At 35.2% G+C, this 25910-nt stretch overlaps 1 protein-coding gene across 15 annotated transcripts in view, besides 1 other annotated feature; it reads left to right on the top strand.

The window, feature by feature from the left end:
• CEP128 (centrosomal protein 128) overlaps positions 1–25910 on the top strand; it is a 482534-nt gene that overhangs the window by 336968 nt on the left and 119656 nt on the right. The gene's annotated exons all lie outside the window — the stretch shown is intronic.
• Positions 16996–17165: an enhancer, noted in NCBI's record as "experimental_37660 CRE fragment used in MPRA reporter constructs". NCBI's record gives its function as "activates a minimal promoter by MPRAs in K562 erythroleukemia cells, with activity observed for the non-introgressed 14:81071799 variant allele {active_cell/tissue: K562}" and the evidence as "EXISTENCE:reporter gene assay evidence [ECO:0000049][PMID:34662402]".

Here is a 25910-nt window from a genome sequence, read left to right as displayed (position 1 = left end):
CCATTCTGTAGGTTGCCTGTTCACTCTGATGGTAGTTTCTTTTGCTGTGCAGAAGCTCTTTAGTTTAATTAGATCCCATTTGTCAATTTTGTCTTTTGTTGCCATTGCTTTTGGTGTTTTAGACATGAAGTCCTTGCCCATGCCTATGTCCTGAATGGTAATGCCTAGGTTTTCTTCTAGGGTTTTTATGGTTTTAGGTCTAACGTTTAAGTCTTTAATCCATCTTGAATTAAAGGAGGCTGGCAGGGGAGAGGACAGCTTAGAGGTTCATCTCAATGAAAAATAAAACTTTTGAAGATGCCATTTTTGTCAAAAAGTAAAAAACTTAGAAAACAAAAACACTCCAGTACATATACCTATTTTTAGCCACATAAAGAATGCTAAAAACAGCTCCAGAAAGCCTATCCCACATCTGTGCATTTATGTTTTTCCTTTACTTCATTATACCTGTCTGCTTCAATTCTAAAAGTTAAGGAGGCAATTCCATTTCTCTGACTCCTGCCCTTATGCTGCTGCTTTATAAGAAATGAGCAGATGTAAAGGGGATAGGTCACAGCCTGCATATACCTGCTCATAAACAAACCAAAAGCCAAAAGGTCTAATTTTAGCCTTCATTCTCTTGGGGCTGTCATAACAGTCACTAACAGGAATTGTTTTGCAATTAATAAACAACATACGGTAAGGTATGAGTCACTAAAAACAAGCATGATTTTCATCTGATGAGTGGAAAAAGAAACAAGAAACCCCTTACAAACGGAGTGGACTTGAGTTATCGGTAAAAAATGGTGAGGTTAGAGAGATCCTTTGAAGCCAAAGACAAAAATATATCATAGCTGATTTGGAGCTTGACATGTGAGAAAAAGAAAGCTAATGATTTTCAAAGAGTAATCTAGACCGTACCCCCTTTTTAGTCTTTCTAATTTTCTAATGTGTATATTTTAAGCTGGTTAGTATATTACTGTAGCCCTTCAAATAATTTTATGACGTTTTGCCCTATCTGTAGAATTTGTGTTAAATCTCACTTAATATCATCCCTTATTCATTAGCCTCCATTTTTGAACCACTGATACAATTATCATTAATATAAGAACACAATGTTTTGTTATATATAGCTTTTGTCTTAAGTTCTTACACAATCAAAGAATCTTAGACAAACCAAATAGAACAGATTCAAGAGGAAAGACAATACATATTAGATATTTTTTAAACCTGGCTTTTATTGGGCCTGCTACCTGACTAATTTAGCCTGTTCTTGACTTCTTTTGGAAAATGAATTCATGGTAAGTAATTTTCCAACTAACTAAGCTTTTCTTACGTTGGCTTAGCTAAACTTATTTGCCTTCTTAACTTAAAAAAATTATGAGATATTTTAAACATATACAGAAATCAAATGATGGAAGGTCATATATGCGCCACTCAGATTTAGCAGATGGTAACATTTTGCCTTATTTGCATGAAAATGTTGGTGTCGTGTATTGCTAGGATCCTAAGCACATTCCTTTCCTTTCCCTCAGGCTTTAGATGTGACAATTATCCTGAATTTGGTATATATCATGCTGTGTGTGTTTATACTTTTACTATTTGTGTATGTACCCATAACTTGTTTGAATTTTCTGCACACTTTTCATCTCTACGTGTTTGGAAGTACATGCTATTTGTATGTACATTGCTACATGTTCGAAAGTACATACTATTTGTATGATTTTAGTAGGCACTCTTAAAACTATAGCATATCTACCTGACTTAAAGTGTACAATGCCTCAATATTTCTACCCTCAGATATTAAGAGGATCTTAGGATCAGTTTCCTTTGGACTGAAAATCATTTCCTGGTTCTTTCAATGAGTGGTAAACTCTCTGTCTTGGAATTGTCTTCATTTTCTCTTCAGTATTACGTAATTGTTTACCTGGGTAGAGAATCCTAAGACTACAGTTGAGTTTTATTAACACTTGAAAGATATTTTATTATCTTAGAGTCTCTTGTTGCTGCTATCTTCTGTCAGCCAAATTCTAATTCCTTTACAAATCAATTGTCTTATCTTTTCTTTTTTATTTTCCCTAAGATCTTTTTGCCCATGGTATTCTGCAGTCTTACTATTTTATGTATTTGGTATAGACTTATTTACTTATTCTGCTTGGTTCTCTTTGTGATTCTTTATTCCTAGGATTACAGTTCTAGAAGATTTTTTAGTCATTATGTAGCATCTCAAATTGCTTCTCTCTATTGTCTCCTTAGTCGACCACTAAAACTGTGGCTAACCTGTTGGAATTTCTCATCCTGTCCTTAATGTAACTTCATAGCTTTTTAGTACCTTTTATCTTTTCATCCTCTGCACTGCATTGTCTGTGATTTCCCTGGTCTGCTCTCCCAGTGCACTTGTTTTTGTTTTGTTTTGTTTTTTGTTTTTTTAAGACGGAGTTTTGCTCTTGTCATCCAGGCTGGAGTGCAATGGTGCGATCTCGGCTCACTGCAACCTCCGCCTCCCGAGTTCAAGTGATTTTTCTTCCTCACCCTCCCGAATAGCTGGGGTTACAGGCGCCCACCACCATGCCTGGCTAATTTTTGTATTTTTAGCAGAGATGGGGTTTCACCACGTTGGCTAGGCTGGTCTTGAACTCCTGACCTCAGGTGATCCACACGCCTCGACCTCCCAAAGTGCTGGGATTACAGGCGTGAGCCACCATACCTGGCCTACTCATTCTTTTCTCCACCTATGCCTCACCTAAAACCTGCCTATTGAAATTTTGTAGCAAAGGCTATTATTTTTTATTTCCAGAAGTTATTTTTTATGTTTTCCATTTTCTTTCTTTCTTTTTTTTTTTTTTTTAACTTGAGACAGAGTTTTGCTCTTGTTGCCCAGGCTGGAGTGCAGTGGTGTGATCTCAGCTCGCTGCAACCTCTGCCTCCCAGGTTCAAGTGATTCTCCTGCCTCAGCCTCCTGAGTAGCTGGGACTATAGGCACCCACCACCACACCTGGCTAATTTTTTTGTATTTTTAGTAGAGATGAGGTTTCACCGTGGTGGCCGGGCTGGTCTTGAACTCCTGACCTCAGGTGATCCACCCACTTCGGTCTCCCTAAATGCTGGGATTACAGACATCAGCCACCATGCCAGGCCTGTTTTCTATTTGTGTGTGTGTGTGTGTGTGTGTGTGTGTGTGTGTGTGTCTGTGTGTCTTTAAATCATTTAAAACATTTTATAAGTGCTTTCAATTGTTCTGTTATCTTATGTTTTGGTTGTACCAGTCTTTCTATTATTTTTGTAGACTCTTGCTCATAAACATTTCCTTGAGTGTTTTTTAATTATTGGTTTTGAGTTATCTAAATGGGGATTTCACATAATTTGGGTTGTGAAAGTTTTCCTGCAGAACAGTCTTTTGTTTACATTTTCCATATGCCTCAGAGGAATCTCCAACCCAAGGCCAATTTTTCAGTTTTAATTCCTTAGGCTACCACTCATATGCTATGCGGGCAGTGTTCATTTTTACACTTAACCAGTACACAATGGAGGAGTCCTTGTCAGAAATGTGTTTCTTATCATCTCCCTGGATCAGGGAAGATAATTTTTAGGACCCTTTTCACTAATGATGCAGCCTTTAGCTAGCGCAACACTATTCACAGTTTGGTTTATCGACCAGTAGCATCAGCATTACCTGGGAATGTACTAGAGATACAAATACGCAGGTCTGCTGGACCAGAATCTCTGGGGCTGGATTGAGGAACCTGGGTTTTAACAGGCCCTCCAAGTGATTGTTATGGTTGCTAAAGTTTGGGTACTATAGCTTTAGAGAGGGTCCCAGCTTCATATAGGAATCTCAGTTCCAGTGTCCTGTCTCATTCAAAATGGATGCAAGCCCTTATTTTCTGTCACTTAGTGGATATTAAAATCTAAAACTCCAGCAGTTACGGCCTATCTTTACATTTCATGGAGCTCTTCCCCAGTCCTGTTTCCATTCATAGTCTACTGCAGCAATAACTTGTTTGTGCATTTTCATTTGACTGTTTGAGCATCCAGGAACCTCCTTTCTTCTTGTGAATTCAACTATGTATTTGTTTTATCCCACATTTCAAGACGTATACTGTAAGAAGGCTTCTAGCGTAGCTAGAGCCATCTTCTTGCCAGAAGGCCTTAGCTAAATTGTTCATGTTGTGTGTTGATATTATCTTGAATGGTGAATGTACACCGAGATTTGTTTTAAATTCGAAAATAAGATCAAGAACGATGTGTAGCTCTCTGTTTTCTTTATGTTATAATAGATTGTTTGTTGTAACATCATAATTGCTTGATGATCACACGTTCTTTAAATCTTCAAAAAATGATATGGAATAAAATTGATGGAAAGGTAATTGAACGAAAAAAATTGAAGCAAAAGTATTGACATAGTATCTTATACAGATATAAATGGGAATGTTGCATACTTATCTTTATTGCATGTTACAGAATGGAATCAAGATAATTCTCCTCAAGAATGCTTACCATGTCTTAGGATGTAAGCCAAGTGTTTTACGTGCATTATCTAATTAAATCCTTTAAAATAGTCCATCCCCATTTTATAGATGAAAAAGCTAGAGTGCAGAGAAGGTAACTAATTCCCTAACTTACATGGTTATTAAGTGAAGTGGGATTTGAACCCATGCAGCCCGATAGAGCTTATAGTTTAACCAAATACACTACATGCTTACTTTTAGAAAAGGAAAACAAGCTTTTTGTTTGTTTGTTTATTTTTTATTTTTGTGGAGACAGGGTCTCGCCATGTTGCCCAGGCGGGTCTCACCATGTTGCCCAGGCTGGTCTCCGACTCCTGGGCTCAAGAGATCCATCCGCCTCGGTCTCCCCAGGTGCTGGGTTACAGGCGTGAGCCAATGCTCCCAGCCAAAAACAAGCATTTTGTGTCACACTAGGCACTTTCACCTATTTTCCACTTAATGCTTACAACAATCTTGTGAGTAGTTATTACCAGTCCACCCCCCACCTTATGTTCTTTAAAAGATGATATTCACGGCCGGGCGCGGTGGCTCATGCCTGTAATCCCAGCACTTTGGGAGGCCGAGGCCGGCGGATCATGAGGTCAGGAGATCGAGACCATTCTGGCTAAGATGGTGAAACCCCGTCTCTACTAAAAATGCAAAAAGAAAAATTAGCCAGGCGTGGCGTCTTGCGCCTGTAGTCCCAGCTGCTGGGGAGGCTGAGGCAGGAGAATGGCGTGAACCCGGGAGGTGGAGCTTGCAGTGAGCCAAGATCGCACCACTGCACTCCAGCCTGGGTGACAGAGCAACACTCCGTCTCAAAAAAAAAAAAAAAAAAAAAAAAAAAAAGATGATATTCACATAGGTTAAGTGATTTGCCCCAATGGATCAGAGAGTAGAACTTGAGCCCAAGTCTGCAAATTGCCAAATCATCCTTTATATGGCAACTGGGCTGGTTTACTTAGTTCCAAATGTTTTCCTCTGTGGTTATAATACAATTTATTGCTTGCAGAATTACTAGCCCAACTATCAGAAGTTTTTTTTCTTTAGAGGACTGAGTGATTTCCACTGGGACCATATGATGTAACAGAAAGAATCATTGGCTTATGGTCTGCTTAATATCACTAGTCTTTGCTCTGTGATAGACTAGACAGTGGGAACTTTTATTATATCATTTCTGTTCCCTGCATTTCAGCTTTCTCTTTTTTTGTTTTTAAACTACATGATCTCTAAATGTCCTTATAGCTCTGCTATTCTAATTCAAAACCAGTAGTCATAATGGTTTATTTTTTAAAACTACAGTTACACCTTGATGATTCTAAATTTTCTACTTTTCCTGGATTGAGACTCCGTATAGTACTTTCTGAGGTATGGCAAGGTAAATTTGAAACATCACTGCTGATATTGGGAGAACTAAAGTAAGTTTGGACATATTCCGTGACCCTTCTGCTATTTGCGTCTTAAGAATCTTGTTAACATCCTTCATCATGACTAGAAATGGGAACACTTGATTTAAAAAAATAATTCACATATCAAAAAAAACAGTTGAATTTGGGTAATTTAGCATAACCAAGAAAAGTGCAGGTTCTGAAGTCAGACCTGAATTAGATGTCCAACTTTGCTATTTCCCAGTGGTAAAAACAGTCTCTCCCAGCTTGTCTCCTCCCCTGTAAAATGGGGAAAATAATCATCTCTATATAATGACATGAAGATTAAATGAGAAAATGCAAGAACACCTTTAGCACAGTGACTGGAGGTACAGTGAGCACTCATACATTTTAGCTGTTATTATTGTCATTGTCACTATGATGATTCCTCTTAAGGATCTTTCCTTTGTATTATAGCTCTTACTGAATGAACTATCAAGCAAGTAAAAATGTAATACTGAAATTGAATGCAAATTTTTAAGTTTTGTTAAATAATTATATGAGAGACGCAGCTGTCTATCAGCAAGAGTGAAATTGAACAGGCCACCGGCGACCTTTACTCTTTTCTAAGTAAAGCACAGATGTGGTTTTAGTTTCATTGGTTAGCAGCTGCTGCTATTGCTTAGATAGTCTTTCTGTATTTGAGCTTCTGCTGTTTAGCCTCCCAGGCCACAGACTGTGCTGATATAAATCGAGACAATCTATTTCTCAATCTTGTACACTGGTGGGCCTTTCTGCTGCTGTCACTTATTTATTTATTTATTTATTTATTTATTTATTTATTTATTTATTTGAGATGGAGTTTTACTCTTGTTGCCCAGGCTGGAGTGCAATGGCGCCATCTTGGCTCAGTGCAACTCTGCCTCCCGGGTTCAAGTGATTCTCCTGTCTCAGCCTCCCGAGTATCTTGGATTATAGGTGCATGCCACCATGCCTGGCTAATTTTTGTATTTTTAGTAGAGATGGGGTTTCATTATATTGGTCAGGCTGGTCTTGAACTCCGACCTCAGGTGATCCACCCACCTTGGCCTCCCAATGCCGTCACTTCTTAGCAATTTATTCTTGGAGTTGTGTTGTCTGTGGCCTTGTAGCCTTTTCCCTGCCCCCTCTGGATTACAGTCTTCCACAACCATTCACCATGAGGCAGATTTGTAGCTGTTCTATTTGCATCAATCCTTTTCGCATGTTCACTGCTAAGAAGCTGAGTTGCTTAGCTGCTGATAGACTGCCTGTCTCTGGGTTTTACTTTTGGAGATACTCTACGGCTATCTCATTTACCTGGCTAGCCAAGAGGGTCATCTGCTGGCAAAATTAATATCACATAGTGGACCCTTATCATTCTCTGGATATTAATGCCAAGCTCTCTATGTTTTTGGTTTCCTAGCAAGATTGTTATTTAATGTCATTTTTTATTGCAAATTTCATTTCTATACTGTTACTAGTTTGTGTGACTGTAGAGTTTCCCCATTATAAGTGATATTTGATCTTGGTGTCTAAAATCTGGTTTTTGGGTCATAGCACTGAGCTGATTTCTTGCAATGATTAACATACTCCAAACCCAATCAATACCATTTCTTACTATTTGTCATGTATTTATTAAGTGTTTATTATATGTGAGTCACTGATGATACAAAGTCAAATAAGATGTAATCTTTCTGGGAATAGTTGCACAGGTATATATTTGGTGATAATTCATTGAGCTGTACATTTGATAACCTTTGCTATATGCATTTTATAATTCTTAGGGAAAGAAGAAGATGTGGTCTGACCTGGAGTTATAGTCTAGTATGAAAGCAGACATGTAAATTAGTGATTTCAAAGCAAGACGAATGCTATTACATGAGCAGATTTCTGGAGAAGCACAGAGAAAAGTCATCGTACACTAGGGATTTATTAAAAAATATTTAGAGGAGATAACACGATATTTGACTTTCAAAGGTTTAGTAGAAGGTATCTGGGTGAACAAAGACACTCAGGAAAGAAAGAGCAGCACTATGAAAATAGAGTCTCATAAAGCAGGCTACCTGGGTGGGACAGGGTTTTTTATGGTTGGAGGTAGGACATGAGAGCAGAAATTAGGCAAATTATATTCTGAAACCAGATCTACAGAGACCCTAGATGTTAAAATGAAAAGTTAAAGGATATATTAATAGTAATATTTGAGATGTAGCCATAGAAGGGGAATTCTCAAACGACACTGAGAAGAAATGATAAAAAAGAATAGGAGGGACTTCTAGAGAGTGTTGTCACATGAGCCAAAGGAAGGGGGTAAGCCTGGCGTATAGGAATGTAGTCAGCAGTATCAAATGCTGCAGAGATCCCAAATAAGACACAAATAGAAGAGTGTCCACTGGCTTCAACAATATGGAAGTTATGTAATGATAATGGTAATATAATTCTGTGAAACAAAATGAGCTGTAATACTTCTAAGTCATTTTATCATTTGGAAGTAGGTGCCCTTTTTTTCATTCTTTTTTAACCACCTCAATTTTTTTCTTCCAATTTTATGTATATTTTTTGTATCTTGCTTGTTAATTTTTATATGTCATTCTCCTTGTCCTTGACTCTTTCCCCTCTGTTATTTAAAAATCTAGTCTTGTCAAATAAGAAAAAGATAATTTTATTCTGCAAAATTATGCATAAAATATTTTTGTAATCACCTATTCTTTATTAAATGGTATTTATCTTTTTACATAAATCATTAAATGTCTTCCTTTACAATTTCCTTATTATGGTGAGTAAATAGACATATTTATATTTCCATATAACCTGCCCATCATAAAGAACTCTGTTTCCTGAAAGCCCTATTTGCTGTCTTCTGCCCCTTGTTTCACTCTAGTCTTATCTCTTGGTAGCTTGCTATCTTAATTCATAATGAGTCTTCATCAAAATTAGAATCAAAGTTAGAATTTACATTTAGAAATATAAACAGCATATGTACATATAGGGAGATGGGGAAAAGGCCATCTCTTATAAAGCGTCATTTGAATAATAATTTTGGAAAAATAATTTTACATTTTAAAAATGTTCTCCGGCCAGGCGCGGTGGGTCACACCTGTAATCCCAGCCCTTCGAGAGGCCGAGGCAGGTGGATCACAAGGTCAGGAGATTGAGACCATCCTGGCTAACATGGTGAAACCCCGTCTCTACCATAAATACAAAAAAAAAAAAATTAGCCAGCCATGGTGGCGGGCGCCTGTAGTCCCAATTACTCGAGAGGCTGAGGTGGGAGAATGGCATGAACCCAGGAGGTGGAGCTTGCAGTGAGCCGAGATCGCGCCACTGCACTCCAGCCTGGGCGACAGAGCGAGACTCCGTCTCAAAAAAAAAAAAAAAAAAAAAAAAAAAATGCTCTCCATTGTTTGAGTTTTGAGCGGACGGCAGTTGTTGTATATTTGTCCTAGTGATTTAAATAACATAACTATGAGATCAAAACCATCATTACTTAACAAGTACTTTTATTTCTAAACTTTTGGAAGAGCAATGGGCCGGGCGTGGTGGCTCATTCCTGTAATCCTAGCACTTTGGGAGGCCGAGGTGGGCGGATTGCCTGAGCTCAGGAGTTCGAGAGCAGCCTGGAGAACATGGTGAAACCCCGTCTCTACTAAAATACAAAAAAAAAAAAAAAAAAAAATTCGCCGGGTGTGGCGGCGTGCACCTGTAGTCCCAGCTACTCGGGAGGCTGAGGCAGGAGAATTGCTTGAACCCGGGAGGTGGAGGTTGCAGTGAGCCGAGATAGTGCCACTGCACTCCAGCCTGGCGACAGAGCGAGATGAAAAAAACAAAAACAAAAACAAAAACAAAAAAACACTTTCTGGTTTCTGAGATCTTTATGGATTTTAGAAATTACTTTAAAATGTAATTGGACCTATTGGAGGTTTAGCCTGGAGGATTCAGTTTAATTCAATATTGTCAAGTACAACTCAGAATGTGATGTTATTTTAAATTTCACTAATAGTATTGCTAACTCTATTTTCCCTCTTCAGATTAGTTTTGATTACTAGCATTTTGATACACCTGTTTTCTTTCAGTTACCAAGATGTGTAGTATTATTAAGTAATTCATGTACTCTCAAATAATGTGATTATCCTTTGTTATTCTTGAATTGAAATTCTGGTTAACTTTGAATGGAAAATTCATGGCACTTTCAAGTGAATAAGAATTATAATGTTCTGATCTGGTAAGATCTAATGGAATAAACAAGGACTCTATATAAGAATGTTGATCAGATTAACACGGTCATTGTATTTGTTCATACTATTCCTAATATTAGAATAGAATTAGAATCCTTCATTTTCATCCTTTCATTGTGTATCTATCTACATTCATTTCTCTTTCACCCCTTTTACCAAATCATTTTGAGATTTCTGAGATGATTTTAACATAATTTCTTCAGAGACAATAAAAGAATGCTTAATCTATCAAGAATATTTGACAAAAAAACACCATGTTTCAGAATAATTAAAAGGCAAACTACATTTTTGTGGCTCGTACTACATACATGCTTTACTATTACAGCATTGCTGTCCTATTACCGGGTACTCATATATCTAAGGTTTTTATTTATTTATTTTTTATTTTTTTGAGACAGAGTCTCGCTCTGCCACTCAGGCTGGAGTGCAGTGGCGTGATCTCTGCTCACTGCAACTTCAGACTCCTGGATTCAAGCAATTCTCCTGCCTCAGCCTTCTGAGTAGGTGGGATTACAGGCACAGGCTACCACGCCTGGCTTATTTTTGTATGTTTAGTAGTGACAGGGTTTCACCATGTTGGCCAGGCTAGTCTTGAACTCCTGACCTCATGATCTTCCCTCCTTGGCCTCCCAAACTGCTGGGATTACAGGTGTAAGCCACCACACCCGGCCTATCTAAGTTTTTAAGAACAGTATTTACTGGTTTCTCTTATGTTTAACATGTTTAATATTCTTTATCATTTAACTTTGGGAATACTTAGAGTGAAGCTATAATTTTTAATCTTACTGATTTAAATTTAAGAAGATCTCTGTAGCTTTGACACTGCTATCCACATTCCTATACTGGAGGCTTACCCTTTTCTTTGGCTTGTGTGATGATACTCTCTAGAGTTCCCTCCTATCCTTTTCATCTCTTTTACTTTCAAATAGCCATAATCTAAGATTTGTGGTATTTACAATATTTTAACACATTTGTGTTAAATTGAATTATCTATGTAGTTCATTGAGGTATCTTGCTAGATTTTACTGCTGATTTCAAGTTGGCCATAATCTATAGTACATGAATTATTTTTTCTCATTCCAAACTCAAAATGACCTTAGATTTTTTTTAATCTCCTTTTTTTGTTATTTGATGCTGGTATCTAGTTTGCTTTTTTTTTTCTTTAATAATTCATGGCAATGTAAGGTTCTTAATATTTTCTCTTTAGTCTTTGAATGTTTAATAAAGCTTAATTGAATAATTTAAAACAAAAGTGAAAACTCCTTATCTTATAGTTTTTCAAACATAATAGGTTCTCAATAAATATGTTTTACCATTAATCCCAAGATTTAAAACTAAAATGATACTTTAAAAGATTTACTGAAAAATACATAGAACTCTCAGTTCTATTCCTTTGCTGCACTGTTGCATGCTCCTATTTTTATATGTATCCTTCCAGGCATAACTTATACATATATGAGTAAATAAGAATGCATTTTTTTCTATTCATTTTTACCTAGATGATGGCATACCACCCGCTGTTCAATATCTTACTTTTTACTTACCATTTCTTGGAGATTTCTCTATATTAATGTATAATGAACTTCCTCGTTCTTTTTTAATAACTATGTAGAAACTCCATCGTATGAATATAATTTATTTAACAAGTTTCCCTACTGATTTAAATTTAAGATGCCTTCAGTTTTTGCTGTAACACTGCAGTGAATAATAACATGCATAAGTCATTTTGCACTAGTGAAAGTATGGCTGTGGAATGAATTCCTAGAAGTAGAATTGGTAAGTCAAAGAGTACACGGATTGTTAATTTTGGTAGGGTTTGTGTAATGTTCTCCCATAAGGTACTGATTTATGCTCTTACTAAGAGTGAATGAAAATATGTTTTCCCATATAATACCAATATTGTGTTCATGCTTTTTACTTGATTGTTAAACCAAAGGTTTGATCCTCATATTATGTGTTAATATTTAAGGTTCAATATTGATGAAAATATCCCATGAATTATAGTTTTTAGTATTTATAAAACAGTACCACACTTAGCAATCTATGTCTCTTACTACATGATATGTTACTGTTTATACCTCTTCTAAGTTATCAAAACATAAAACAATGTTAAATTAGTGATAGTAGTAAATAATCAGACAGATGATAAAAACAGTAGCATTCCTAGATATATACTCAAACATATACAGAGCTTAGTTCCCAGTAAGATTTTATTTCAAATAAGTGGGGGAAAGATTGATAATTCTATAAATGGTTTTGACCAATAGACATTTATTTGGAAAAAAAGAGATAAAGTATGATTCATACTGCGCTGCTTTCAGCAGAATAAATTTCAGATGAAAGTTTTATATATTATTTTTAAAAATGGGTATATAACGTGCTACCATTTATTAAAGGGAGATGACTGTATGCATGCACACACACATAGCATAATCATAAACAAGTACACTGAGATGGAAATAAAATTTAGACAGTGGTAATAGAAGTTGACTCTTGAGGGTACCTGAGAGATGGGCAGTCAGTGTTGAGTACTGGAGAGTGAAGAATGTTTTTCACTGTGAACATTTTTTTTTCCAACTGTGTGATTTTTTTTTGACTCACATACATATATAATTTTAAAAAAAAAGAAATCAGTACTTGTATCTCATTTTAGTCCAAAAAAAATGAGTTCAGGTGTTTCCTTCTTATTGCATTCTTTCCAAACGGACTGATTTCTCCAAAAGATGGAGTGTTTTGCTATTTTTGCCTGCTGTTTACATTGAGGTTAACTCTGTTGGTTAGGGTGTACTGGTAATGACACCAATGACATGGGTTTTATTTCCATGTGGTTCAGTTAACTTTGGTTTTCCACTGCCACAGACTGCTCCAATAATTATGGCTAAAATGTGTTCTTGGCCCAAGGGAGACCTGATGAAGCAAAGTGCAAATCCATCACCATGTGGGAAAATGGACACCCAAATACCCAGTGGATGGGGGTGGGGGCCAGAGGGAACCATAATAATGGGATCCCTAAATTCACATCTTAATAATATAAAATTCCTTATATACATGCAGTGAACTTCAAGATATCTAACTTAATGTTTTGGTTTTAAAAGGTTCAAAGTCAGTCACAGACAAGGAAGCTCAGTTTATAGGCAAATCTTGAAATATTAACCAAGGTTACTTTTTGGAAAAAAAAAATGAGTCATGCCTAGCCCTTCCCAATTACATAATATTTACTTATCCAAATGCTTTTACTGAGTTTAAAATATCTCAGCTTTATATTTGAAATTACATATAACAAATATTTGATTATGTGGTTTATTGAAAATGAAAGCTCTACTGTAGAAATTTATAATCTTAGTCTTTGCAGTATCATTAGTATGTCTCTAATAGTCCCAAGTCATGGTTCAGAAATCTCTCAAATCTCAAAAAATGTAATATACTTCAATCTTCAATATACATTTTTAATATGCATTCCTATAGTCAATATTTATTAAGTGTTTACTGGTTCCAGGTACTGTGTTGAATAAGTGCAAAGAGATGCCTGGTGGTTCCCAAAGAGCTCTCAATTAATAGGGGAGGGAGATCAGGTAAATAAGAAAACCATTATTATTTTTAGAAATAATGTGACAGTGCTGTGTTAAAGCAAGGCACAGGGTACTGACTGTGAGAGCAATTACTAACAGTATCTAACCCCACGTGGGAAAGCTTTGCTGGATCCTGAAGGACAAGTAAGAGTTAGCCAGGGTAAACAGGGTAGGCAGGGCATTCCAGGCAGAAGAAACAGATGTAGATTTAGAGGTTCAAGAGAGCATGATACATTTAAGAGCTGCAAATAGTTTAGTGTGATCAGAATTTAGAATATGGAAAGGGATGGTGAAAGGTGAGACTGGAAAATTAAACAGAGTTGAATCCATGAGAAGCTTTTTGGGTCCTGCCGGGAATGTAGATTATAGTCTAAAAGCAATGGGAAATGATTGATTTTAAGCAAGACTAGCTTGGTGTTAGAGGACAGTAAGAGTGTAAAATGAGATGTTGTCTGTGTTGTATAAAGTTCAATTTTACATTAGCAGGAAGAATAGAATTTGAGTCATTTATTCAGCATGTATTACTGAGCACTTCCTATGTGCCCAGCACTTTTCTAGGTGCCTGAGTTATTTAGTTCCTGAACAAGTATCTCAAGAACATTATGGTGCTTACATCCTAGTGGAGGCGAAAAGACAAAACAATTAAACAAATATATAGATAATGTTCTTCATGTCAAAAAGTACTATGAAGAAAATCAAAGCAGAGTAAGGTAGAAGGGACACATGTGGGTGCTGGTGCTGACTTTACATCGTTTTAGATCAAGGAAGTCCTTTCTGATAGATGGCCTTTGAGCAGATACATAAATGAAGTGGAAGATTAAATGAAAAGTGTGTTCTAGGCAGAAGAACTCGTTGCAGCAAAGGCCCTGAGGCGATGTTAATGACAGGCTCTTTGAAGAGCAGAAAGCCAGCAGGACTGGAGCTGAGACTGCGTGGAGGAGAGTTGTAATAGGTGACAGCAGAGAGAGTACTTCTGGTGGTGTGGAAAGGTTGGTTGGATATCTGAGGGTAGGACTTAAAACTGAAATCGACTTTAGGAGAAGGTGGGGGAAGCTATTGTATAATCTATAAAAAGTAATGGTGTTGAAAGTCTATTAGTTAAAAAGTTAGTTGATGCTCCATAGCCTTTTCTACTGGTAAATTTGAGAAGAAGCTAGGCCTGTGAAAGAGTCTTCCTTTCTTTTCAAACTTGCCTGCTCCTGCCATACTAGACCTAAGTGTTCTTACTCTGAAGTTCCTGAAAGCTTTTTGGAACTATGCCCAACTTTGTTAAGTTGCAGAATGCTTCTCTGAAAGATTAACAGTATCTTGATCCATGTAGAATTTGGTGAAGGAACTTGCAAGACTTTTACATTTATTGTAACACACCTAGGGTAGATGGTCAGTCCAGCTTTGTGCATGTGAACACTTTAAAGTCTTCCCTTGAAAGATGAAGGTTTATAAATTGTGTCCAAAAGGGGTCTTTCTCTTGGAATTCAGCCTATATTTTCTTTTGAATTATTCTTACTAATTTTACATTCGCTTTTGTTTCTCACTCCATCTCCTTCCTCTCTCTTTTTTTGTGTATTTTGGTTACCCACTAATTGGTCATATTTATTATGTAGCTTCAGTCTTTATCAATTTATACCTATTTAGAGTACATACTTATTTTGAAAATGAGTTATATGTATTTGTCTTTAGATATGTCTATATGATATAGATTTACGTAAATATGTACATAACACATTTAACAATATCAAAGGCTTTCTCTAAAGATAAACACATGTAGCTCATTTTCATACATATATTTATATAACACATATATTCGATGCACACATATATGTACATATATGTATATGTGTGTATCGTATATATGTTATATAAATATATGTATTAAAATATATGTACATGTATGTATATATATGTATATATGTGTGTATCAAAACAAGGTAAGAGTTTAGAGAGTAATAATGAAAGGGAAGAGTATGTGTCTTGTTTTAGATCATTTTAGATCAGGGAAGTCCTTTTGGATAGAGTGATATTTGAGCAGATATTATATACATTACCTATATATTATATAACATGGTGTTCAGGATCCAGGCTTTTCTGCTCTCTACACACACGCACACATATGAAAGTGTTGGGAAAAGAGGTCATTGTTTGAGAGAACCTTTGAGGTCTGTTCTAAACTTGTAGACCTTCCTAAACCTTAGGGATTAGACTGCAAGTACAGTACATTCTGTTTCCCAAACAAAGATAACATTTTCTACTTTAGGGAATCTAAACAATGAGCATTTTCCTTTCCTTTCTCTGTTTCATAAGCCTAAACTCCCTCTAGCCTGTCAGTTATGATTATATGTACTGTTCCCAGCTAATGCAAATAAGAGAAGCTGTTGATGGAAATTTTACAGACTTCCAGAAGTATTGTGGCAACATGAAATTGATTCAATCAATGTGCTGGTAGTGTTTACAGAGCCTGGCTTCTTTGATTCTATCTACAAGTCTCACCACCATCTAATTTGGTATCTATATTTTTTGCATTTTCCAGATCTCTTTTTCAGTCAAAATCTGCATATCCAGAAGCAAAAAAGGCAAAATACCTTTGTTGCTGCTTAATGGTCAACTCTAATAGGAAAGGAAAAGTTAATTAAAATCTATGAAAATGAAACAAGTAGCCTTTAAAGATAAGCTGTACAATGTGGCCAGTGTTAATATGACAATTTGTTAATGGACTAGGCAGTTGTAATCAGTGTTAAAAATTACTTGAGGATTTTTTTATGTTTAGCAAAAGCTACTAATTAAAAGAAGCAATGACCCGTGAGATTATCCATGAAAACCATTTGCTATTGGAACATAACACCAAAGAAAACACTAATTTAAAAATTTTCATAGTTTATAAAGATAAAATTATAATAAAAATAAAATAAATAATTTTTTAAAGTTTATACTATAATATTTTATTGGAAACTGTTTTGGTTTACTTTTATTTTTCTATTACCAATTGGGTAGTTTTTGAATCCCTTCTGTTTAAATGAGACACACATTTTTACTTCTCATTAATAGAAAGGGACTAAAACCACTAAAATCCCAAACCTTCATATTCATGAACTGGATTTAGTATGCTTGACTGCCCTTTGGAAGGTCTGTCTGATGTCTGGTTTGAGGAAAAACTGTCTTTTGGAAGACATTCTTGGCCTTTTTTTGCCTTGACACTGACAGGAAAGAAAGTGATCTGACAAATGAAAATATTCATGTTATGTAATCCATTTGTGAAAAAATCCACTTTGTTCTTTTTTCTGCTTCCAGATGATAGAGTAATTTAATTTGTTCTTGGAATTTAAAAAGAGTCTGAATAAGAAGATATAGAAGAATTACTGTAATTGTGAGGATTTGAAGAACAAAAAGGGAAGATTTGCAATTATCTAAAGTGTATTTATCCTGGGTGTAGAAGAAAACAGATAGATATTCGAGGTGAACGAGAATGAATTTGTCACATGTCTTTATTATCTATAAACAGTCCTAACAACAAAAATAATTATTTAAACTAAGAATCTGTTTGGATTCCTAAAAGGTTTTAGGGAGATAATTGTTATACATATTAATTCTGAATAATTATTACTCATACACATTGAGCCATTCAACTAGGAGGCAACAACTAACACTTAGAGACCATGCAGCAACCTACAAAGATACAGTGCCTAAAATTTCAGAGCTACGGAGATCTTTGCAATAATTTAGCAGATAATAGAACCTCACTTTTTATTGATAGGATCGTTATGGCCAAGAAAGATTAAGTTTCCATCTTTGAAAATCTACTTAGCTAACTAATAGCAGAGAAAGAATGAGAACCCAGGTCTCCTGACTTCCATTCTGATAGTTTTTCACCATATTGCATACTTTGAATGGGCTTGGTAGAAACTTGTCCAGAAACTTGAGTATTACTGACTGGTTTGTGTAGCCATGAGTTTTGTCTTTTTTGTCCTAATTGTCAACTTAATCTGAATTTCAGATCTGTCTAGAGTCTTCTGACTTTTGCCAGAAGATAACTACTTTTGAAACAGAAGTCCTAACCTTTCAGAAAAAGTATATACAATATTCTGAACTAGAATCTCCTGAACATGGTACTTACCAAAGAGTTTGAATATAGTGGTAGATCCAAATGCATAACAATGAACTGTAATAGAATAAATACTATAATAAAAGTAGGAACAAAGCGATCTGGAAACAGAAACAGCAGCAATATCTCCAGGAATATGAGTGGTGTTTGGGCACGGGATGGTTTGTAAAAGCTAACCGAGGATACGTTTTAAGCTGAGATTCGAATAATGTTATATATTGTCTATGTAGTGAAGGTCAGGAAGGACATTGCAGATAATGCTAGGAGATGTTGCAATGATAACAGAAGATAATACTCTTGGAAGTAAATTTGTTGACAGATCCTTTATAAAGCATGTACTAAGGAGTTTGACCTTAATCTCAGCATGGGAAACACTAGCCACATTTCATTCTTCTCCTCTATTCCCATATCCATCGAGGATATTAAAACTGAATTCAAGAATGTCTTTTCATTCAGCTCAGGCATATCCCTAGAATACTTGACCATATACACTTCAGCAAACCATGACCAATCAATCACTTGTATCAACACAGGTGGAATCTATTTCTGTAAGCAGTTCAAAGTCAGAGGATGTCTTTGAACAAAGAGGGACATGAGCATATCTATTTTAGATTCATGACTCTGGGCACTGTAAGGGAAACATTGGTAGGAAACACCAACAGGATGCTGTTATAATAATTTGGGGGAGAATTTCAGGAGATGTTTTAGAAGTAGAATGTATAGAACTAGAAAATATTGCTTTTTTGAAAGTTTTAGTAATAACTTTTTGTTTTTACCTGTAACATTCATTTTGAGATGTAACAAAAGCTTCATCGTTTCACAACATTTCACTGAATTGATTCCTAAATACTCAAATTAGCAAGAAAGGACTTAATTTCCACTTTACAAGGTATGGGGAGGGAGAAGCAATATTACTATAGAATTTCACTTTTTGGAGCAGAATACAATGCCTGAGAGAATATTGATGGTCTTTATCCTAGCAGTATGGGATTCTACTCAATTATTTTCTCTCTTGGCAAGCAGGGCTCTCTAATCACCAACACATAATTTATATTCATAATTGATAATAATTGCAATATCTTTTTACAGGCATGATGAAATAATAATGATGAAAATTGCTATTAATTGAGAGATTGCTATTAATTGTGTCTATTTTAGAGCGGAGGAAGGAGGAGTAGATGGACAAGATTGTAGACCCATGTGACTGATCCCAGAGTCCATGCTCTGTATTCCATTTATAAAAGGAATAGTGGTCTTCCCATGTTTTCTAAATAAACTGGGATAGGATTTACATAAAATAAAATTCAGCTTTTTAAAGTGTACATTTTAGTGTATTCATTCACAAGGTCATGCAGCTATCAGTATCTAATTCCAGAACATTTTTTATCAGCCCTGAAAGAAACCTCATAATTATTAACAGTTACTCCCATATCCCTCCCTCCAGCCTCTGGCAACCACAAATCTACTTTTTGTCTCTATGGATTTGCCTGTTCTGACCATTTCATATAATAAAATGATACAATATAGTATGGAAATACCACATTTTGTTTATCTATTCATCATTTGATGGACAGTTGGGTTGTTTCCATCTTTCAGCTATCATGAATAATGCTGCTGGCCAGAAAGGCCATTGTCTCATTTGCTGAGGCCACACTCCAGAGCCAGGACAAATGAAAGGCCTCATTCAGAAATGGCAGAATTGCTTCCTCCCATTAAGTTTAAAAGCCCTTTGGAAAGTGAAGTTTCTGGTCCTCCTTAATAAGCACACTGTATCCCATACATTTTAGTATGTCGTGTTTTTGTTTTCATTTTTCTCAAAGTATGTTCTAATTTCACTTTTGATTTCTTCTTTGACCATAGGATTTTTAGGAGTATGTTTTTTAATTTCTATGCATTTGTGAATTCCCCAAATTTCCTTCTGTTACTACTTTCTAAAATCATTTTGTTGTGTTGAGGACATACTTTGTATAATTTCATTCCTTTTAATTTATTTTATTTTATTTTTATTTTTTGAGACGGAGTCTTGCTCTGTCACCCAGGCTGGAATGCAGTGGCGCGATCTCGGCTCACTGCAACCTCTGCCTCCCGGTTCAAGCAATTCTGCTGCCTCAGCCTCCTGAGTAGCTAGGACTACAGGTGCATGCCACCATGCCTGGCTAATTATTTTTGTATTTTTAGAAGAGACGGAGTTTCATGGTGTTAGCCAGGATGGTCTCAATCTCCTGACCTTGTGATCCACCTACCTTGGCCTCCCAAAGTGCTGGGATTACAAGCATAAGCCACCACGCCCAGCCTCCTTTTAATTTATTTAGACATTATTGATGGCCTATCATATGGTTTGTCTTGGAGAATGTATGCCTTTGGGGAGAATGTGTATTCTGCTGTTGCTGAGTAAAGTGTTCTATAGATGACTATTAGGTCTAGTTGGTTTAGACTGTTGTTCAGGCCTTCTCATTACTTGCTGATCTTTCTTCAAATGTTTATTTGTTCTATCCTATATTGAAAGTTGGGTATTATTGAAGGTGGGGTATTGTTACAGTCTCCAACTATTATTGTTGTATTCTTTACCCTCAATTCTGTCCATTTTTCTGTCATGTGTTTTGAGACTCTGTTGTTATTTGCATATATACTTATAATTGTTATATAGTCTTGATTGATTGACCCTTTTATTATTTTATGTCCTTTGTCTCAGAACAAGTTTTGTCTAAAAGTCTGTATTGTTTGATATTAGTATAACTATTCTAGCTCTCTTTGGTTACTGTTTTCATCCTTTTTTAACCTACTTTTGTCTTCGAATCTAAACTATTTCTCTTATAGATAGCATAAAGTTGAATTATATGCATTTATAAATCTGCCAATCTCCACTTTTTAACTGGAGAGTTTATATTTAATGTAATTACAGTTATGTGTGCCACTTAAGAACATTTTGGTTAATGATGGACTGCATATATGACAGTGTTCCCATAAGGTAATAACAGAGTTGAAAAATTTCTATTGCCTAGTGATGTCATAGCCATCATAATGTCATAGCACAATGCATTATCTTCTCTATGTTTAGATATTTGTAAATATACAAATACTTAGTATTGTGTTACATTTGCTTATGGTATTCAATATAGTAACATGCTGTACAGTAACGTGCTGTACAAACATGTTCATTGCCTAGGAACAATAGGCTATACTATATAGCCTAGTTGTACAGTAGGCTATACCATCTAGGTTTGTGTAAATATACTCTATGACAATCTTGTCCAACCTGTGGCCCAGGACATCTTTGAATGTGGTCCCCCCAAAATTTGTAAACTTTCTTAAAACATTATGAGATTTTTTTGTGATTTTTGTTTTGTTTCAGCTGTCATTAGTGTTAATTTTATGTGTGGCCCACGAAAATTCTTCTTCCAGTGTGGCCCAGGGAAGCCAAAAGATTGGACACCCCTGTTCTACGATGTTTGCAAAATGAGGAAATTGCCTAAAAATGCATTTCTCAGAACACCACACTTCTCAGAACACATCCCTATCATTAAGCAATGCACGACTTATATACTTACAAGGAAACACATCTGCCATTTTGCTAGTTGTTTGTATTTGTTTTATGTCTTTTTTTCCCTCAATTTCTTTATAATTGCCTTTTCTTTTGTTAAATACATATTTAGGTATTAAGTATGTAAATATTTAATAGAGATTTCCCAGCATAGTATTGTCTTTTTTTTTATTTTTGAGTTTTTTCTTAATGATTGCCCTAGGATTGCCTTAATGATTTTTCTTCTTCATGTATAATCTTCTTCATATATCATCTTCATGTATATTCTTCAGTTTTCTTCTTCATGTATAAAATTCTAGTTTGGATTAATATCAAGTTAATTTCAATAGCATACAATTTTTTTGCTCTTCCGTAATTCTGTTACCTTATATTTCCTTTGTATTGTTATTGTGATACAGATTATATCATATACTGTATATGTATCAACTCAGACTTATAATTATTGCTTTAAATAGTTGGCTTGTAAATCAGGTAGGGAAATAAAAGGAGTTACAAAGAAAAAAATACATTTTTGTCTATGTTTAGATATTTGTAAACATCTAAAATAAGCAAAGAAAAAATACATTTATACTGTTTTTAAAATATTTATCTATATAGTTACCTTTACTGATACTATTTATTTATTTGTGTGGACTTGACTTATTGTCTACTGTACTTTCATTTCACCATGAAAGACCCTGGGAATGTGTTAATATCTCTGTGATTTTGAATGACAGTTTTGCTGCATGTAAAGTTCTTCACTGACAGTTTCTTTTCTCTCTCTTTTTTCTGTTTATCCCTTCGAATATGTAATCCACTGCCTTCTAGCCTTGATTTCTGATACAAAACCCTTCTATGTGATAAGTCACTTTTCTCTCACTGCTTTCAAGATTATCTCTTTTTCTCTAGCTTTTGAGAATTTGATTATGATGTATCTAGGTGTGAATGTCTTTGAATTTATCCTATTTGAAGTTCATTGAACTTATCAGTTTTGCAAATTAATGTTTTTAATCAAATTTGGGAATTTTTACGTTTCAAATAATTCCTTTGGGAATTATCTTTTCAAATATGTTTCTTCCCCACTTTCTTTTTCCTCTCCTTATGGGAGTGTCATTTTGCATATGTTGGTATACTTCAAGGTGTCCCACTGCTCTTTTAAGTCTCTGTTCATTTTTCTTCAGTCTCTTGTCTTCTGAGGATGACATGATGACAAAAAAGAATGAATCTGGGGTGCTGATGACATCGTAGAGCCTCTGCTCCACCCCTGTAGCTCCTACCTCTATATTTCATGGTATGTGAAAGAAAACACAGATATCTTCAGGCTTTTTCTTCTGCCTGCTCAAATCTGCTACTGAGCCTCTTTAATTATTTTTAAATTTCAGTTTCTCTACTTTTCAATCCAGTATTTCTACTTGGTTATTTTTTAGATCTCTTTATTAAAATTTTCCATTTTGCAAGACATCATTCTCATACTTTTCCTCAGTTCTTTGGGTATGATTTCCTTTAGGTTTTTTTGTACATATTTAAAATAAATTATTTAAGGTGTTTGAGTATTAATTCTAACATCGGGGCTTTCTAGTATGACCAAGTTTTTTTTTCTTTCTTTTTTAAAGTAGTACAGTGTCTAACTATATACTTTGCTTTAGAAATATGGATAACTGCAGTAGTCTAGAAAAAAGAATATGACTCAGCCGGGCGCAGTGGCTCATGCCTGTAATCCCAGCACTTTGGGAGGCTAAGGCGGGTGGATCACGAGGTCAGGAGATTGAGACCATCCTGGCTAACATGGTGAAACCCCGTCTCTACTAAAAAATACAAAAAAAATTAGCCGGGCGTGGTGGCGGGTGCCTGTCATCCCAGCTACTCAGGAGGCTGAGGCAGGAGAATGGCGTGAACCTGGGAGGCAGAGCTTGCGGTGAGCCGAGATCAAGCCGCTGCACTCCAGCCTGGGTGACAGAGCGAGACTCCGTCTCAAAAAAAAAAAAAAAAAAAAAAAAAGAATATGACTGTGTACTAGGGTAGATGCAGTGAACTGCACAAGGAAGGGCAAGTGTTGAGGTGTTAACCTCAAAGAGGAATTAATTAACCAATTAAAATTTAAGATCCATTATCTGTCATTGTGCCCAAAATACTTCTGAATTTTTAAATTAAACTTGTGATGTTATTGTTAGATTCACATGAAGTAAGAAATAATAAGAGAGATCGTATAATACATAAAGATCATTTTACCTATTCTCCTTCAGTGGAAATATCTTATAAAATCATTGTACATTATCACAACCAGGGTACTGACACTGATATTGTCAAGATATAGAACATTTCCATCAACATGAAGATCTACCATGTTTTTATATTTTTTATAGCCACATCCACTTCTCTTCCACCCTCATTCCATTCTTAAACCCTGGCAGTCACTAATCTGTTCTCCATTTCTATAATTTGGATTTTCTATTCTGTTCAATTACTTTTCTATTCTGTTCTATTGAGCTATGAGCATATCCCTCCACCAAAACCACAGTCTTGATACTCTAACTCCATAATAACTCTAGAAATTGGGTATACTTATTTCTTCCAATTTATTCTTAATTTTTAAAAATTGTTTTACTTATTCGAGTTCCTTTTCCTTTCCATATAGACTTAAGAATAATCTTGTTGTTAGCTACAAAAAAGTATTGCTGTATTTTGATAGAAATTGTATGGAACTTGCATATTAGTTTGGAGAGAACTGACGTCTTTACTATGTGAGTCTTCTAATCCATGAATACAGTACGTCTTATAATTTGTTTATGTCTCCTTTAATTTCTTTCATGACAGTGTTTTGTTTTCTGCAAACAAATTCTTTACATGTTTTGTTAAATTTATACTTATTTCATTTTTGAGTCTTTTCAAATGGAGTGATTTTAAATGGTATAATAATTTTAAATTTTGATGTCTACACATTCACTCCTAATGTATAGAAATATAATAGATTTTTGTATATTTATCTTGTATTTTGTGACCTTGCTGAATTCACTTGTTGGTTGTTTGAGGTGGGCTTTTATTGTTGTTTTGTTTTGTAGATTCTTTGGGATTTTTTTTCATGATGACAACCATGCTATCTGCAAATACGGACACTTTTTTTCTTTGCTTCCAATCTCTATGCCTTTATTTTCTTTTCTTCATTGTATTATAGAACTTCCTGTACTATGATGAATAAGAATTGTGAGAGTAGGTATTCTTGTCTTATTTCTCATCTTAAATGGAAAACATTTCAGTCTTTCACCATTTAGCATAATGCTAGCCATAGGGTTTTGTTTTTTTTTTTTTTTTTTTTGTAGCTGAGGAATTCCCTTCTAGTTCCTTTTTCTGAGTTTATTTTTATCATAAATGGTCAATGAATTTTGTCAAATACTTGTTATTCATTGATTGATATGATCCTGTGATTTTTGTTTATCTTCAGCCTGTTAAGATAATGGATTACATTGATTTTCAAATACTGAACCAACTTTGTATCCCTAGAATAAGTGCAACATGGTCATGTTACATAATTCTTATTATAAGTTGCTAAATTCTATTTGCTAATTATTTAAAAAAGATGTGTTTTCTATGCTCAGGAGAAAGCTGCGGTTTTTTTTTTTCTTTTCTTTCTTTTCTTTCTTTCTTTGTTTTTTTGAGGGACAATTGTCTATTGTTTTTGGTATTGAAATAGGCTAAATAAAATAAATGGGAAATATTTCATTTTCTTCTGTTTTCTGAAAGAAATTGTATAAACTGGTACCAATTCTTCTTTGAACATTTGGTAAAAGTTATTAGTGAAACCATTGGACCTGGAGATTTTTGTTCTGCAAGTTTTAAAATTACACATCTATTGTTCTGAATAGTTACAAGGCTATTTAAATTAGGTATTTTACATTGGGTAAGTTATGGTACTTTGTGTTCCATATCTTCTAAATTATCAAATTTATGTTTGTAAGGTTGTTTGCAGTCTTCCCTTAAAATCCTTCTCATATCAGCAGGACCTATAGGAATATCTTCATTCCTAACGTTGGTAATTGTGTTTTCTCTTCACCCTCCCTTGTTCCCTGCCCCGTCTCTCTTTCTCTGTCAATCTTGGTAAAGGTTTGTCAATTTTATTGAACTTTGTAAGGAACCAGCTCATTGTTTCATTGACTTTTTTTTCCCTCTTGTTCTCTATTGTCTCCTGTTCTCAATTTCATTGATTTTTGTTCTTATCTTTATTACTTCTGCTTGCTGGTTTTTTGTTTTTTTTTAAGGTTCTTGAGGTGGGAGCATAGGGTATTCATTTGAGACTTTTCCTCTTTTCAAATGCATGCATTTAGTTTCATAAATTTTCCTCTCAGAACTGCATCAGCTTTGTCCTACAAATTTTGATATATGACATTTTTGTGATATTTTCTTTTTCTTTTCCTCCCCCCCCCACCTTTTTTTTTTTTTTTTTTTTTTTGTGACAGTGTCTCACTGTTACTCAGACTAGAGTGCAATGGCCCAACCAGCTCACTGAGAACATAGCCACCAACTCCTGGGCTCAAGTGAAGTGATCCTTCTGCCTCAGCCTCCCAAGTAGCTAGGACTATAGGTGCAAGCCACTACACCCAGCTAATCATTTTTACAAATTTTTATAGAGAAGGGATCTCACTGT

The sequence above is a fragment of the Homo sapiens genome, chromosome 14 (assembly GCF_000001405.40).
Source record: "Homo sapiens chromosome 14, GRCh38.p14 Primary Assembly".
In the NCBI taxonomy this organism is placed as follows: Eukaryota; Metazoa; Chordata; class Mammalia; order Primates; family Hominidae; genus Homo; species Homo sapiens.
Note: the sequence above shows the minus strand (reverse complement) of the source record. Positions and strands in the feature narration are given on the sequence as shown.